This window comes from Homo sapiens, chromosome 11 (assembly GCF_000001405.40).
Source record: "Homo sapiens chromosome 11, GRCh38.p14 Primary Assembly".
NCBI lineage: Eukaryota > Metazoa > Chordata > Mammalia > Primates > Hominidae > Homo > Homo sapiens.
The window spans coordinates 30,965,571-30,983,260 of record NC_000011.10 but is presented as its reverse complement, the minus strand read 5'-3'; the positions used below and the strand labels follow the sequence as shown (position 1 = coordinate 30,983,260).

Genomic DNA, 17,690 nt, shown 5'->3' with positions numbered 1-17,690 from the left:
TGATTATGTGTTCATTGGGGAAATGTTGCTTCATACACTGTTATTCCCATTGTTGAATATTTACAAGGACCAGAGAATATTCAAAGCAAAGCCTTTTTTTTTATTTTGTTAAGTTCCATGTTTATGGCATTGTGTACAAAATGCACATAAAAGACATTTTCTTATCTATTCCTGTTATATTAGAGAAGTTCATGCCCCACTCTTAGCATTTTCCAACACAGCTGTAGAGTAGTTTAAAGCCTATTTTTAAAATAAGTGATGCTCAATTTGTCTTTGATGATCCGGATGATTCAGGTGAGATGGGAGCACGGTCGGGCCCTTATTTGCATAAAAATTAATCACAGAAAAATGTAAATTGATAAAATTTTGCCTGGCTTTTCCACCCTATTTGAGAACCCGTGGATGGCTCCCAGAAGCAATCATCTCAGTATGGGGCCGCATTGGATGCTGTACAAATGATCACATTTGTGTTGAATACTCACTCATTTAAATGTCAGCACTGATGGGGCGGTGCATCAGTAGAAAAAAATGAAAAATAAATACACAGCAGCTGAAGACTATCAAATCTGTGGGCACTCTTTAGAGATATACGATCTAATGTGAAAAATTGCAGATTAATTATCCTTTTTGCAAATGGTAATTGTTTTAGTATCACACCAGAAAAAAATCTGCAATTTATTTGGAATCAAACAAAACACAGTAATGTTAAATACGTCATTACATCATTGTGTTTATTAGAAGCCTGCAATTAATTCCTAAGGCTCCTTTGGTCTTTAATGCTACATAAAATGAAACAAAAGAGTGTTGCTATTAATTTTGAAACAAATGCTTATCTTTCAAATCAGTCTGAGTTGTATGAAAAAGGAAGCAATGTTATGAAAGTTTTGGTAGATACTGTATACTAACTTAATTTCATTGTGCTGCTGACACTGTTGATAATATATTCACAGATCCGTTGAAGCTGTAATGTTAAATTGGAAGGTTTTTGTTCAGTAGCTTGTAACTTTAACTCACCTTGGAAGAAGTTGTGGAGAAGCGTGTTCTCAAGAGGTGCTTTAAGAAAAACAACAGCAATACTAATTTGCGGGACAAGTGTCAGAAACTATTTGTAAGACCTGAAACATAAAAATTCTTTGCGCTGCCTCTAGTGTACCTTTAACATGCATGAGTTTTTAGACATGTAATTTATGTCCATTTGAAATAAAGAATTTTGGTTAGCTATCTCAAGGAAAAAAATAAATTTATTTAAATAAAAATAGGCATAAGCAATTACATTTTCACTCTAAAAGATGGTTGAAAGCCTTTTTTCACAGTAGTATGATTGTTTTTACGGCTTATCCAATCCCTTTATCTTTGCTTCTGGGTGGCTCTTTTTGGCTCCTATGCCTCAGCTGCTTTGGTGTTCCCAGCGTGTGGTATCCATGCAGCATTCCAGCCCAGATGGATATTAGGTTCTTTCTTATTATTCTATAACTTTAGCATAGATTTTAAATGACTGAAACGTTGAACAGATCTTTATTAGCTAGGGAAGACAAATTTAAAACACAGCCTTTCCACCTGCTGACTTACTAAACTCCTATTGAATTAATATTACAGTAACCAATAGTGCCAACACACAAGAAATATTTTGAGATGGTTGAAATCTACTGGCTTTGTAGTTAGTTTGGTGAACAGCCCTTAAAATTTAAATTGACTAACACTTAGAAACTATGCCTGCTTTTGAGATTAAATATAAATTGGCATATAATAAGAATAATCACACACCGTTTATGTTATTTAACAATAACATCACATTTAACTCTGGAAGTCAGCCCTTCCAGAGTGCTGACTGTGAGCCAGATGCCATTCTATTCCTTTACAAATAATAATTTGTTTAATCTTTATAGCAGTTGTATGAAGTAGGTATTCTTTTTAAAATTTATTTTAATTCATGGGGTACATGTGCAGGTTTGTTATATGAATATATTGCATAGTGGTGAGATTTGGGGTTCTAGTGTGCCCATCACTCAAATGGTGAACATTGTACCCAACAGGTAATTTTTCAACCCTCGCTCTCTTTCCACCCTCTCCGCTTTTGGAGTCCCCAGTGTCTATTCTTTCCCTCTGTGGGTCCATGGTACCCATTGTTTAGCTCCCACTTACAAGTAAGAACATGTGGTATTTGATTTTCTGTTTCTTAGTTATTTCACTTAGGTTAATGACCTCCAGCTCCATCCACGTTGCTGCAAAAGACATAATTTTATTTTTTTATGGCTATGTTGTATTCGTGGTGTATATATACCACATTATCATCTGTTGACAATTAAGTTAATTCCATGACTTTGCTATTGTGAACAGTGCTGTGATAAACATATGAGTGCAGGTGTCTTTTTGATATAGTGATTTCTCTTCCTTTGGGCAGATGCACAGTAGTGGGGTTTCTGGGTCAAATGGTAGTTCTATTTTTAGTTCTTCTAGGAGAGGCCCCTATCCAGTTTTACAGAGTTTATCATTATCAGAATCTCTGGGGAAACCTCTTAATTTCTCTTTCACTGGCATATTTTATTTGTTTATGTCAAAGGCATTCTTTTCATTCATTTATTGATCCACCTATTTATTTAAATAAGACTGCTCTTAAAATTTGCAGGGTTGAGAAAAAAACAAAAATGGAAGCCCATGGGCCACCCCCATTTCTGCACAGCCACAACTCTATCCAACACCACAATGGGCTTCCAAATTCACAGCCACACCATCCCCCATGTCCAATATTTGCCCTTTCATGCCTGACAGAGCTATCTCTTGTCTACCTTTCAGTACTAGGAGTTGTACACTAGTAGCATGATATACTACTGGTATACTAGTATTCCAGTCTCTAAAAACAAGTATGGAGCTATTTGGCCAAAGAAGTCTGAGGCCTCAGAGAATGGTCTAGAAGTGAAAAGAAGGCACACAGGTGTCAGATGGGCACTCCCTTTGGTTTCATGGACTCATTGCCCACTGAGTGAAGCAGGAGGCCCAGGGAAGTTGCCATGGCTACATAGATCTGCAGTTAGTATTGTTCTGCATTTTACAAAATGTATTTGGTGTGAGTTATATGCCAGATGCTGTGCTAGGCACTGGGGATGTACTGAAACAAAGTGGACAAAGTCCTATAGTCTACTCTAGTAGATTACAGCCTAGTAGAAATAGATACCATTTCTTATACACTGAATTTTATGATGTCCACAATATCAAGCTGTGACAAATATAGGATTGTTTGCATGTGTGTTCATTAAGAGTTTTCTTTGTATAAAGTACAGTGTTAGAGGAAAATATAAATGACCCTTTTGAGAGGCTCAGAAACTTTGGGAAATTGCTATTGCTTCTTGCCTCTCAGAGAAAATGTCCCAATTTTGCTGTAAAAGAACAGAGAGAAGATCATCTCACATCCTGATTTTAACAGTTTTACTCAACGAATATTTATTGGGTGACTTCTTTTATGACAGTCACACTTGAACTGAACTATTAAAATTACTGTTCAAACTAGGTCACTTTCTGGGCATTTAAGGCTCTTTATGTCTAAACATGGGTTATTTTTCCATGTGGTTTGTATGGCTGTAGGCATCTGTAAAGCTTTTCCTTTAACTTGCTGGACAAGTCTTGGACCTGATTTCCCTCACTGAGAAATGATAAGTGTGAAAAATTAACCATAATTCCTCTCAGATCCAAGAGAAACAGCATCTAGACCTGAAGGCTGGTAAGTGAAAGTGTTCCCTACTCACCCTTGGTCACTGTAATGAGAAGTAAAACATAGATAAGATGCATGGGACATTCCCTGGGCATGTACTGGCTCAGTATTTCACTGTATTTAAAGGTTTGTTCAGAAATGCAAGATTTATGCAACTAGTAAATACCTACCTGATTTTAATACTTTCATTATGATTTAATTTGGAAGGTAATTTGGCATTTAGGCCCTTGAGAGATAGGTGTTCCTCCACAGTAACTTGCAGAGTGCAAGCAGGCTTCCTCACTTCCTGCTCCTTTCTTGCCTTAAGTGTTTCTTGTTGAGTTTCATGTTCTCTCTTAGATGATCTATTCGAAGTGTGATGATGTACTTGCTATTTTAGTTATTCTTTGTGGAGGAGTGAATCCCAGATGCTTCTAGTCAGCCTTCTTGAAGTCCCTCCCTCTCCAAATTTCTTATATTAATAGGAGAGTAGAGGTTAATGGGCACAGTTATGTAGTTCAGAGTTTGGAGGCTCTAAAATTAGAATTCCTATCTCTGTATTTGAAAGTAAATTATTCCTTTTGATCTTTTAAAATACAGGCATAATCAAGTCCCTACATGTACATGTACATATAAACCAGGCACAGAAAGACAGACATTGCATATTCTTATCCATATATGGGAGCTAAAAGAGTTGATCTCCTGGAGGTAGGGAGTAGAATGATAGATACCAGAGGCTGAGAAGGGGGTGTGTGTGTGTGTGTGTGTGTGTGTGTGTGTGTGTGTGTGTGTGTGTTGAGGGGGGACTGGGAGGATGAAGAAATTTGGTTAATGGCACTTGTAGAGTTAGATGGAAGGAATAAGTTCTAACGTTCTATAGCACTGTAGGGTTTCTATCGTTAGCAAAAAGGTGTTGTATATTTCAAAACAGCTAAAAGGAAGACTTGAAATGTTATCAACACATAGAAATGATAAACACTTGAGGTAATGGATATCCTAAATGCCATACTTGATCATTACACATTCTATGCATGGAACAAAATATCACATTTACCCCATAAATATGTACAAATATTATGTATCAATAAAAAAGATGTACAAATATTACATATCAATAAAAAGAGAAACTTTACTTCAGTATCTTCTTATCTATTATGTATTTATTATGTTTCAGATATTGTGCTAGACTTTGTGGATATAACCATGTGCAAGATGGTCAGGATCTCTGTCCTTGCAGAACTTGTAGTGTAGTAAGGGGAACAGAAATTAATCAGTTGTTGGTTAAGACATAAGTGGTGCAAGTTAAAACCATCCAATGTACAGAAGCACCTAATCCAGACAGGTCTGAGGTCACATTAAGTCTTCAGATTCGTGTGAGAATAGGTAAGTCACCTACAATTGGCGTGGATAGCCACATAACTTTTAGAGAACTTCTTTCTATTTTTATCACTTCCCGAGTCAGAGTTAAGTAATTTTAAACATTATGGTCAAATCTGTAGGTATTGGCCTACTGACTTGTTGTACAGAAAAAGAATTCTAATTAGCACCACTCCTTTAGAGAACAATATGGCAATATACATCAATCACTTTAAGTGCTAATATTCTTTGACTTAGCAATTACATTTCTTACTGTTTGGTTTTTTTAGGAAACAGGGTCTCGGTCTGTCACCCAAGGTGGAGTGCAGTGGCACAATCTTGGCTCATTTCAGCCTTGACCTCCTGGGCTCAAGTCATCCTCCCACCTCAGCACCCACGAGTAGCTGGGAATACAGGCAAGCCACAATGCCCGGCTGGTTTTTGTATTTTTTTGTAGAGATGGGGTTTCACTATATTGCCCCTGCTGGTCTCGAACACCTGAGCTCAGGCAATCTGCCCACCTTGGCCTCCCAAAATGCTGGGATTACAGGTGCGAGCCACCATGCCTGGCCAGCAATAACCTTTCTAAATGTCTAGCCTAAGGTAGTAATCCTACATATTGAAAGAGGAAAATGCTTTATGAACAAATATATTCATTAAATATTTTATATAATTTTAAAAACTAGAAGAAACATATTTAATAATAAGGATTTAGTTAAGCAAACTATGGTATTTTGTATAAACTAATTTTTATTGCTACGTAATATTTGTACATATTTATGAAGTACATGTGATTTTATTACAAGCATGAATGTGTAATGATCAAGTCAGAGTGTTTGGGGTGTCCCATTGAGTATTTACCGTTTCTATGTGTTGGGAACTTTTCAAGTCCTTTCTTCTAGCTATTTTCAAATGCACAATACATTGTTGCTAACTATAGTTACCCTACTCTGCTATCAAACATTAGAACTTATTCCTTCTAACTATATGTTTGTATCCATTAAGAAAGCTCTGTTCATCCCCCACAATCCCCAACCACACACCTTTTCCAGTCTCTGGTATCATTCTGCTCTCTACCTTCATGAAATCAACATTTTTAGCTCTCACATATGAGTGAGAATGTGTGATATTTGTCTTTCTGTTCCTGGCTTATTCCACTTATCATAATGACCTCTAGTTTCATCTATGTTGCTGCAAATGACATGATTTCATTTTTTATGGCTAAATAATATTCCATTTTATATATACTCCACATTTTCTTTGTCGATTTGTCCACTGATGGAAGCTTAGGTTGATTCCATAGCTTGCTACTGTGAATAATGCTGCAATAAAGACAGGAGTGTAGGTATCCTTTTGATATACTGATTTCTTTTCCTTTGGATAAATGCCCAGTAGTGGGATGGCTAGATTGTATGGTAGTTCTATTTTTAGCTTTTTTGAGAAATCTCCATACTGTTTTCCCTAATGGCTGTACTAATTTACATTCCCACCAACAGTGTATAAGAGTTTCTTTTCTCTACATCCTTGCCAGCATCTGTTATTTTTTGTCTTTTTAATAATAGCCATTCTAACTGGGGTGAGATGATATCTCATTGTAGTTTTGATTTGCATTTCTCTGACGATTAGTGATGTTGAGTATTTTTTCAAATGCCTGTTGGCCATCTGTATGTCTTTTTTTTTTTAAGTCTATTCACATTCTTTGCCCACTTTTTCATGGAATTATTTGTCTTTTTACTGTTGAATTGTCTAAGTTCCTTGTATATTCTGGATATCAGCCCCTTGTCAGACAAATAGTTTGCAAATATTTTCTCCCATTCAACAGATACTCTTTTTACTTTGTTGATTGTTTACTTTGCTGTGCAGAAGCTTTTTAGTTTAATATAGTCTATTTGTGTATTTTTGACTTTGCTACCTGTGCTTTTGGGGTTTTAGCCATAATATCCATAGACAGAACAAAGTTTTGAAGTGCTTTTTGTTTTCTTCTAGTTTTATAGTTTCGGGTCTTAGGTTTAAGTTTTCAATTCATCTTGAGTTGATTTTTGTCTAATTTCATTCTTCTGCATATGGAGATCCAATTTTCCCAAAACTGATTATTGAATAGGGTGTCTTTTCACCAATGTTTGTTCTTAGCATCTTTGTCAAGAATCTGTTGGCTGTAAATATGTGGATTTATTTTTAGGTTCTCCTTTCTGCTTCATTGGTCCATTTGTCTGTTTTTATACCAATTCCATGTTATTTTTGTCACTGTAGCCTTGTAATATATTTTGAAGTCAGGTAGCATGATGCCTCCAGCTTTGTTCTTTTGCTTGGGATTGCTTTGGTTATTTGGAGTCTTTTTTGTTTCCATATGAATTTTAGAATTTTTTTTCTATTTCTGTAAAAAATGACATTGGCACTTTGATAGGGATTGTATTGAATCTGTAGATTGCTTTTGGCTGTATGGTAATTTTAATGATATTAGTTCTTCTCATCCCTGAACATGGAATGTCTTTCCATTTGTTTGTGTCCCCTTCATTTTCTTTCATCAGTGTATTGTTGTTTTCCTTGTAGAAGTCTTTCACTTTGGTTAAATCTATTGCTAGGTATTTTATTTTATTACTTTGTAGCTATTATAAATGAGCCTCGATTTCTTTCTCAGCTAGTTCACGTTTGGTATATAGAAATACTACCAATTATTGTATGTTAATTTTGTGTCCTGTAAATTTATTGATTATCTCAGAGGTTTGTTTTCATGGAATCTTTAGTGTTTTTTTTATAGCTATAAGATTATATTATCTGCAAAGAGGGACAGTTTGACATCCTCTTTTCCAATTTGGATGCCTTTTATTTTTTTCTTTTGCCTGATTGCTCTGGCTAGGACTTCCAGTACTATGTTGAATAAGAATGGTGAGAGTGGGGTATCCTTGTCTTGCTCCAGTTCTTAGAGGTAATGTTTTTAGCTTTTCCCCATTCAGTATGTTAGCTGTGGGTTTGTCATATGTTGCCTTTATTATGTTGAGGTATGTTCTCTCAGTGTCTAGTTTGTTGATAGTTTTTATCATGAAGAAATGTTAAATTTTATCAAATGCTTTTTCTGTGTCTATTGAGATAATCTTACAGTTTTTGTACCTCATTCTCTTGATGTATTTTATCAAATTTATTGATTTGTGCATGTTGAACCATCCTTGAATCCCTGAAATAAATCCCACGTGATTGTGGTGTGTTATCTTTTTAATGTACTGTTGGATTCAGTTTGCTAGTATTTTGTTGAAAATTTTTACATCTAAATTCATCAAGGATATTGGCTTGTATTTTTCTTTTTGTTGTTGCATCCTTGTCTGGTTTTGGTATTAAGGTAACACTGGCCTTATAGAATGAGCTAGAGAGAGTTCCATAGTCTTTATTTTTTATGGGGAATAGTTTAGAATAGTTTGAAGAGAGCTGGTAAATTCTTCTTTGTAAGTTTGGTAGAATTTGGCAGTGAAGCCATCAGGTCCTGGACTTTTCTTTGCGGAAGACTTTTTGTTACTGATTGAAACTCATTACTTCTTATTGGTTTGTTCAGGTCTTCTGTTTCTTCCTGATTTAATCTTGGTAGGTTGTATGTGTCCAGGAATTTACCCATTCCCTCTAGGTTTTCCAGTTTGCGAATGTATAGTTATTCATAATAGTCTCTGATGAGCTTTTGTTTTCTGTGGTATTAGTTGTAATGTCTCCATTTTCATTTCTGGGTTTATTTGGGTCTTCTCTCTTTTTTTCTTGATGATTCTAGCTAACAGTTCATTGCATTTTTTTGAAAAACCAACTTTTTGTCGATCCTTCTTATTATCCTTTATGTGTGTATTTCATTTATTTCTGCTCTGATATTATTTCTTTCCTTCTACTAATTTTGGGATTTTTTTCTTGCTTTTGTAGTCCCTTGAGGTGCTTTGTTAGATTGTTTGAAATCTTTCTTTTTTTTTTTTTTGATGCAGCTGTTTATTGCCATAAATTTCCCTCTTAGCACTGCTTTTACTGTATCCGACAGGCTTTGGTGTGTTGCGTTTTGGTTTGCATTTTTTCAATAACTTTTTTTATTTCTCCTTAATTTCTTCCTTGATCCAATGGTCATTCAGGAGAATGTTTAATTTCTATGTATTTGTAGTTTCAAAAGTTCCTCTTGTTATTATCTTCTAGTTTTATCTTTTTTTTGGTCTGAGAAGAGACTTGATATGACTTCAGGTTTTTAAAATATGTTGGGACTTGTTTTGTGTCCTAACAAATGGTCTATCCTGGAGAATGTTCCATGTACTGATGAGAAAAAAATGAGTATTCTGTAGCTATTGGATGAAGTGTCCTGTAAAAGTGTTTAGTCCATTTGGTCTAACATGCAGTTTAAATCCAATGTTTCTTTCTTAATTTTCTATCTACATGACCTGTCTATGTTGAGAGTAGGATGTTGATGTATCCAACTGTTACTGTATTACAGTTTATTTCTCCCTTTATGTTTAATATTATTTGGTTCATGCACCCGTGTTGGGTGCATATATGTTTAGAATTGTTATATCCTCTTACTGAATTGATCACTTTATCATTATATAATGACTTTCTTTGTCTCTTTTTATTATTTTAAACCAACGTCTGTTTTATCTAAGTGTAGCTACTCCTGCTCACATTTGGTTTTCATTTTCAGGGAATCTGTTTTTCGACTCCTTTACTTTCAGACTATATGTGTCTTTATAGATAAAGTGAGTTTCTTGTAAGCCACTGTATTAATGTGTTCTCGCATTGCTGTAAAGAAAAGAGGTTTAATTAGTCCATGGTTCCACAGGCTGTAAAGGAAACATGGCAGCTTCTGCTTGGCTTCTGGAGATGCCTCAGGAAACTTACAGTCATAGTGGAAGACAAATAGGGAGCCAGTACTTCACATGGCCAGAGCAGGAGGAAGAGAGAGAGGGGGGAGATGCTACATTTTTTTTTTTTTTTTTGAGATGGAGTCTCACTCTGTCACCCAGGTTGGAGTGCAGTGGTGCCATCTTGGCTCACTCTTTAACTGCCACCTCCCCGGTTCAAGTGATTCTCCTGCCTCAGCTTCATGAGTAGATGGGATTACAAGTGCACACCATCACGCCTGGCTAAATTTTGTATTTTTAGTAGAGATGGGGTTTTGCCATGTTGCCCAGGCTGGTCTCGAACTCCTGACCTCAGGTTATCCACCCACTTCAGCCCCCAAAAGTGCTGGGATTACGGTCATAAGCCACCACGCCTGGCCGGTGCTACATACTTTTAAACAAGCAGATGTTGTGAGAACTCTTAACAAGAGGACAGCACCAGGGGGATGATTTTAAACCATGAGAAACTACCCCTATGATTCAGTCACCTCCCACCAGGACCAACCTCCAACATTGGGGATTATAATTGAACATGAGATTTGGGTGGGGACACAGATCCAAACCATATCAGCCACATAGTGTTTGATCATTTTCTTTTAATCCATTTGGCTTGTCTGTATCTTTTAAATGGAAAGTTTAATCTATTTACATTCAAGGTTATGTTATGATGTGAGGACTTATTTTTGTCAATTTATTAATTCTTTTTTTGTTTTCTTTTTTGGTATAGCCTTGTTTCTTTCTTTATCTTTTATTTTTATCATTGTGGTTTGGTGGTTTTCTATAGTGGTAACATTTTAGTCTTTTCTCTTTCTTATTTATGTGTTTGCTCTACCAGTGGGTTTTATACTTTTGTATGTTTTCATGATGGTAGATATCATCCTCTTGTTTCCAAGTGTAGGATTTTAAGCATTTTTTGTAGGGCTGGTCTAGTGATAACAAATTTTCTCAGTTTTTGCTTTTCTGAGAAAGACTTTATTTCTCCTTCATTAATGAAGGGTAACTTTTCTGGATATAACATGTGACAGTTTTTTTCTTTCAGCATTTTGAATATATTATCTCATTCTCTCCTATAATGTTTCTACTAAGAAACTTGCTGTTAGTCTGCTAGAGGTTTCCTCATAAGTGACTAGATGCTTTTCTCTAGCTGTGTTTAGAATTTTCTCTGTTATTGACTTTGCCAGTTATACTATAATATGCAATGGAGAAGACTTTTTTGAATTGCATCTATTTGAGGATCTCTGAGCTTCCTGTACTTGGATGTCTAAATCTCTTGCTGGACTTGGAAAGGTTTCAGTTATTATTTCATTCAATATGTTTTCTATCCTTTTTGTTTTCTATTTGCCTCCTGGGACACTGGAAATTCAAATATTTGATCACTTTATGGTGTGCCATATGTAATGTAGACTTTGTTTTTCTTTTCAAAATTTTTGTTTGATTGGTTATTTCAAAAAGCCTGTTTTTGGCCAGGTGCAGTGGCTCATGCCTGTAATCCCAGCACTTTGGGAGGCTGAGGCAGGCCGATCACAAGGTCAGGAGATCGAGACCATCGTGGCTAATACAGTGAAACCCCGTCTCTACTAAAAATACAAAAAATTAGCTGGGCGTGGTGGCGGGCACCTGTAGTCCCAGCTACTTGGGAAGCTGAGGCAGGAGAATGGTGTGAACCCGGGAGGCAGAGCTTGCGGTGAGCCAAGATCGCGCCACTGCACTCCAGCCTGGGTGGCAGAGTGAGACTCCGTCTCAAAAAAAAAAAAAAAAAAAAAAAACAAAGGCCTGTTTTTAAGTTCAGAAATTCTTTCTTCTACATGACATACTCTTGTTGAAGCTCTCAAATGTATTTTTTTATGTCATTCAATGGATTATTTCATTCCTAGGATTTGTTTGGTTCTTTTGTAATGATATCTATCTCTTTAATAAATTTCTCATTTATATTTGAATTATTTTCCTAATTTCTTTGTATTGTTTATCTGTATTTTCTTGTATCTCACTGAGCTTCTTTAGTATCATTATTTTGAATTCTTTCTCTGGCATTTCATAATTTATTTTTCACTAGACTCTTACTGGAGAATTATTGTGTTCTTTTGTTCTTTTGGAGATGTGATCTTTTCTTGATTGTTCTTTTTTTTGTGTGTGTCTTTATGTTATTGATATCTGCATATCTGGCATAATAGTTGCTTCATCCAATTTTTTGAATTAGCTTTTGTAGATGAGGACTTTTTCATGAAGATGTATTTACGGTGTTGGTTGGGTCAGTAATGTCTGTGATTTCCTCAGTGGATTAGGATGGAGTTGTTAGTTGTGGTGAAATTTTGCTGGGGATGGGGATACCAGGTGGAACTTTGTGTGTGTGTGGGCGCACCAGCTGTGATGATAGTGGCAGATTGGGTGGGCCCAACCTCAGGCCTCTGGAAGGAGTGCTCAGGTGCCAATGGTGGTGTGCTGTGCTGGGCAATCTCCAGGCCCCCAGATGGCATGCTTAGGCACTGGATAAGGAGCTGGGCTGGGCCAACTTGACCTCAGGTCCCCTATGGTGCATGCAGATGCTGGCTGTGGTAGGCAGATATGGGGTAATCCCCAGGTCCCTGATGAAAAGGTTGAGTTGGGGGAAGGATCAGTGGCTGTGCTGTGGCCCTGCTACTGGGGAGGGCAGGATTGCTGTCATTGGCAGAAACCATAGTCAGGCAGCTGGGGAGTGTACACTTTAGCCCCAGATGGTGGCTGCAGGTGGAGTAGCTTGTCCTCAGGGCATTAGCAAATGTGTGACAGTTCCTCTGTTGGGGGTGGTGGAGTCACTGCCAATGGCTCATGCTTTGGCCTTGGTGGCAACTGCCAGCAGCAGTGGCAGAGTCTGTCCTTGGGGTGCTTGAAAATGTACATAGTTTTGCTGGTGGGAGCAGTGGGGTCACAACTTACAGCTTGCACTTCAGCCCTGGTGGCAGCAGCAAGCCACAGTGGTAGCTGCAAGTGGGAGATGTCAATGTAGCTCCATGGATTTGTAGATGTAGGGGCTGTTGGACCCCAGGGCAGGATGTAGTCTTGTGGGGACTGGGCCCTCAAAATGGTGCCATGCTGTAGCTGCTTAGGACTTGGGGAACCAGCATGAGCTCTCTCTCTCTGAAGCAATGCTGTTGTGTGGCCTCCAGGCATCTCACTATGTTAGTTTCAGGACCTGCGAGGGTTGAGGCACTTTTCCATGGCTCCAACTACAGGAGTCTATTGTGGAAATGTAGATTGCTAGGGATATCTTACTTACCCTTTCCCCACACTGGGGATCCTCTCCAGATTCCCATTCTATCCTAACTAAATAGGCTGCCTCATTTCCCTCCTTCCTTGCTTTTGGTGTTTTCTGTTACTTCTCTGTTGAATTCCAGTGTTCTGTCTTAGATGATCTATTAGAAGTGTGATAATCTGCCCACTATTTTGGTTCTTCTTTGTGAAGGAGGCAAATACCAGATACCTCTAGTCAAGTCCCTCTTCTATGAACTTTTATGCAGTTACTAAAAATGATGAATATGAAAAACATAATGCAAGTATTACCAGTTTTAAAGAAAATTAGGACATAAAAATTTAAAATGTAGTTTGATTATAATATTACAACTTGTTTTAAATAAAAGGAAATGAATGAAAATGAACTCCAAAAAATCTGTAGTAAAAAAGTCTAGCTAAAGAGGAATATGCAAATATGAATTATAAAATTTTCTCTATTTCTACACTCAAAACTTACCTCAAAGCAAAGAAGCAATTACTGTTGGAATTTATAACTTATTTTGAAATTATATATTAGTTTCCTTTGGCTGGTGTAACAAACTGCCTCAAACTTGGTGACTTAAAACAATAGAAATTTATCTTCATAATTCTAGATGCCAGAAATTTAAAAATCAGTATCATTGAGCCAAAATCAAGTGTCAGTGGGGCCATACTACCTCTGGAGGTTATAGGGAACAATACATTCCTTGCCTCTCAGCTTTTGGTGGCTGCCAGCATCCCTTGGTTTGAGGCCTCATCACTTTAATCTTTGCTTTTGTGATCATATTGCCTTCTCCTCTTTTGTAGTGTCAAAATTCCTTCTGCCTCTCTCTTCTAAGGACACTTATGATTAGGTTTAGGGCCTAAACACAGATAATCCAGGAAATCTACCTATTTCAAAATCCTGAACTTAATCATACCCACAAAGTTTAATTTTGCCTCTAAAGTAATATTCATGTTTTAGGAATTAGGGTGTGAGCATCTTTAGAGGGACCATTATTCTACCACAGACTGTAACATATCAACTCTTTGTTTTGTAAATCTTGCAGTGGCTTTGGCCAAAAAAGAATCATTATTTAAGCATAAATAAATTTATTGGCAATGATGGAATTTCAGTACTTAATTTTGAGAAATAATTTTGAGTAGGGGAATTTTGTGATATCTTGCAAATTATATCATGCAAATGATCTCTTACTTAGAAGTAAAGGAATTTGTGTTTATTTATGTTATCTCACTTTAAAGATTTAAGAATTCAATAATTTCGAGTATCAATAAATGGCAAATTGAGAAGTTAGAATTCACCAGCTAGATTTTAAATGTGCAGAATCCCTCCCTATACATTTCAAGACCCCTAGTGGATGCCTGAAACCACAGAAAATATCAAACCATATATATATATATATATATATATAATTTGATATATATATAATTTGATATATATAATTTGATATATATATTTGATGTATATATAACCACAGATAATATCAAACCATATATATATATACACACTTTGTTTTTTCTTATATAAACATAAGTGATAAAGTTTAATTTATAAATTATACACAGTAATGCAATAGCAATAACTAGTAATAAAATAGAACAATTATAACAATATGCTGTAATAACGGTTATGTGAATGTGGTCTCTTCCTCTCTTTTTCTCTCTCTTTCAACAAGAGTTTTCCCTTTAGTATTTTCAGACTGTGGTTGATCGCTTGTTTCTGAAACTGAAGAAAGCAAAACTGTGATAAAGGGGACTACTGGAGTCCAGGTTAACTTATTCATTCATTGAGTAAATAGCAGAATGTGTCCTATGGGCTAGACACTGTTCTGAATCCTAGGGAACCAAATTCCCATGTCCTCTCTGTTGACTCTTCAAACCCCTCAGGAAGAATCAGTGGTGCTATGGTCAGTTCTCTGCCGTACTTTCTACAAAACCCATGATTACCCTGATCACCTGTGTCACTGGTACCTATTCCATTGGCCCATCCTGCTCACCAAACTGGGACTCCTCAAGGATAGAAACTGTCTCAGTTCCTGGGATCCCTGGCACCCAGCAACATAAATGTAGGTGGTGAAAATGTGTTGGATGGTGTTTCCCAAGGCAGACTTTAGACAAAGCATCCTTGTTATTTCATTACATTTGTGGACTTCCTACTAATATTCATTCTTTTCCCATACCTCAGAGCTCTCATACCTCATCATTTTTTTTCTCTACCTAACTGCTCTTGTCCTTTTCATGTGGGACCTCTGGGGTGTTTTTCTTTGTTTTTCAGTTTCTTGTTCTTATTTCTCATCTGTTTCCTAAGAACTTTGATTGACACAGAACTGAAATGTGACTCATAATAGACTATCTATAGACTTTAAGAGCTGTTTGGGGAAATATTTCTGAATTGGAGATACTTTTGAAAAGCTATCACTCACTTCCTTATAAGTTCTAATCTCTTTGACCTGTTCTGATGATTGAAGACTGTCCCACAATTTCCTGGGTAAACACACAGAACCACCTTAGACTAGGCAAGTGGGTCCCCTGGCCAGATCCCAGGCCCCAGGAGCCTTTACCTTGAAGTGTCTGCCTTGAAATTTTCTAAGATATCTCTCTGTTTGTCTGTTGTTGGTGTATAAGAATGCTTGTGATTTTTGTACATTGATTTTGTATCCTGAGACTTTGCTGAAGTTGCTTATCAGCTTAAGGAGATTTTGGGCTGAGACGATGGGGTTTTCTAGATAAACAATCATGAGTGAACTCCCATTCACAATTGCTTCAAAGAGAATAAAATACCTAGGAATCCAACTTACAAGGGATGTGAAGGACCTCTTCAAGGAGAACTACAAACCACTGCTGAAGGAAATAAAAGAGGACACAAACAAATGGAAGAACATTCCATGCTCATGGGTAGGAAGAATCAATATCGTGAAAATGGCCATACTGCCCAAGGTAATTTACAGATTCAATGCCATCCCCATCAAGCTACCAATGACTTTCTTCACAGAATTGGAAAAAACTACTTTAAAGTTCATATGGAACCAAAAAAGAGCCCGCATCGCCAAGTCAATCCTAAGCCAAAAGAACAAAGCTGGAGGCATCACACTACCTGACTTCAAACTATACTACAAGGCTACAGTAACCAAAACAGCATGGTACTGGTACCAAAACAGAGATATAGATCAATGGAACAGAACAGAGCCCTCAGAAATAATGCCACATATCTACAACTATCTGATCTTTGACAAACCTGAGAAAAACAAGCAATGGGGAAAGGATTCCCTATTTAATAAATGGTGCTGGGAAAACTGGCTAGCCATATGTAGAAAGCTGAAACTGGATCCCTTCCTTACACCTTATACAAAAATCAATTCAAGATGGATTAAAGACTTAAACGTTAGACCTAAAACCATAAAAACCCTAGAAGAAAACCTAGGCATTACCATTCAGGACATAGGCGTGGGCAAGGACTTCATGTCCAAAACACCAAAAGCAATGGCAACAAAAGCCAAAATTGACAAATGGGATCTAATTAAACTAAAGAGCTTCTGCACAGCAAAAGAAACTACCATCAGAGTGAACAGGCAACCTACAACATGGGAGAAAATTTTCGCAACCTACTCATCTGACAAAGGGCTAATATCCAGAATCTACAATGAACTCAAACAAATTTACAAGAAAAAAACAAACAACCCCATCAAAAAGTGGGCGAAGGACATGAACAGACACTTCTCAAAAGAAGACATTTATGCAGCCAAAAAACACATGAAGAAATGCTCATCATCACTGGCCATCAGAGAAATGCAAATCAAAACCACTATGAGATATCATTTCACACCAGTTAGAATGGCAATCATTAAAAAGTCAGGAAACAACAGGTGCTGGAGAGGATGTGGAGAAATAGGAACACTTTTACACTGTTGGTGGGACTGTAAACTAGTTCCACCATTGTGGAAGTCAGTGTGGCGATTCCTCAGGGATCTAGAACTAGAAATACCATTTGACCCAGCCATCCCATTACTGGGTATATACCCAAAGGACTATAAATCATGCTGCTATAAAGACACATGCACACGTATGTTTATTGCGGCACTATTCACAATAGCAAAGACTTGGAACCAACCCAAATGTCCAACAATGATAGACTGGATTAAGAAAATGTGGCACATATACACCATGGAATACTATGCAGCCATAAAAAATGATGAGTTCATGTCCTTTGTAGGGACATGGATGAAATTGGAAACCATCATTCTCAGTAAACTATCGCAAGAACAAAAAACCAAACACCGCATATTCTCACTCATAGGTGGGAATTGAACAGTGAGATCACTTGGACACAGGAAGGGGAATATCACACTCTGGGGACTGTGGTGGGGTCGGGGGAGGGGGAAGGGATAGCATTGGGAGATATACCTAATGCTAGATGACACGTTAGTGGCTGCAGCGCACCAGCATGGCACATGTATACATATGTAACTAACCTGCACAATGTGCACATGTACACTAAAACTTAGAGTATAATAAAAAAAAATTAAAAAAACAAAACAAACAAACAAAAAACAATA

The 17,690-nt window shown here is 37.0% G+C and overlaps 1 protein-coding gene across 18 annotated transcripts in view, besides 1 other annotated feature; it reads left to right on the top strand.

The window, feature by feature from the left end:
• DCDC1 (doublecortin domain containing 1) overlaps positions 1 to 17,690 on the top strand; it is a 506,137-nt gene that overhangs the window by 386,479 nt on the left and 101,968 nt on the right. The window lies entirely within an intron of this gene.
• Positions 12,087 to 12,587: an enhancer, noted in NCBI's record as "H3K4me1 hESC enhancer chr11:30992221-30992721 (GRCh37/hg19 assembly coordinates)". NCBI's record gives its function as "activates a minimal SCP1, AML or CMV promoter by ChIP-STARR-seq in naive H9 embryonic stem cells {active_cell/tissue: H9 hESC(naive)}" and the evidence as "EXISTENCE:reporter gene assay evidence [ECO:0000049][PMID:30033119]".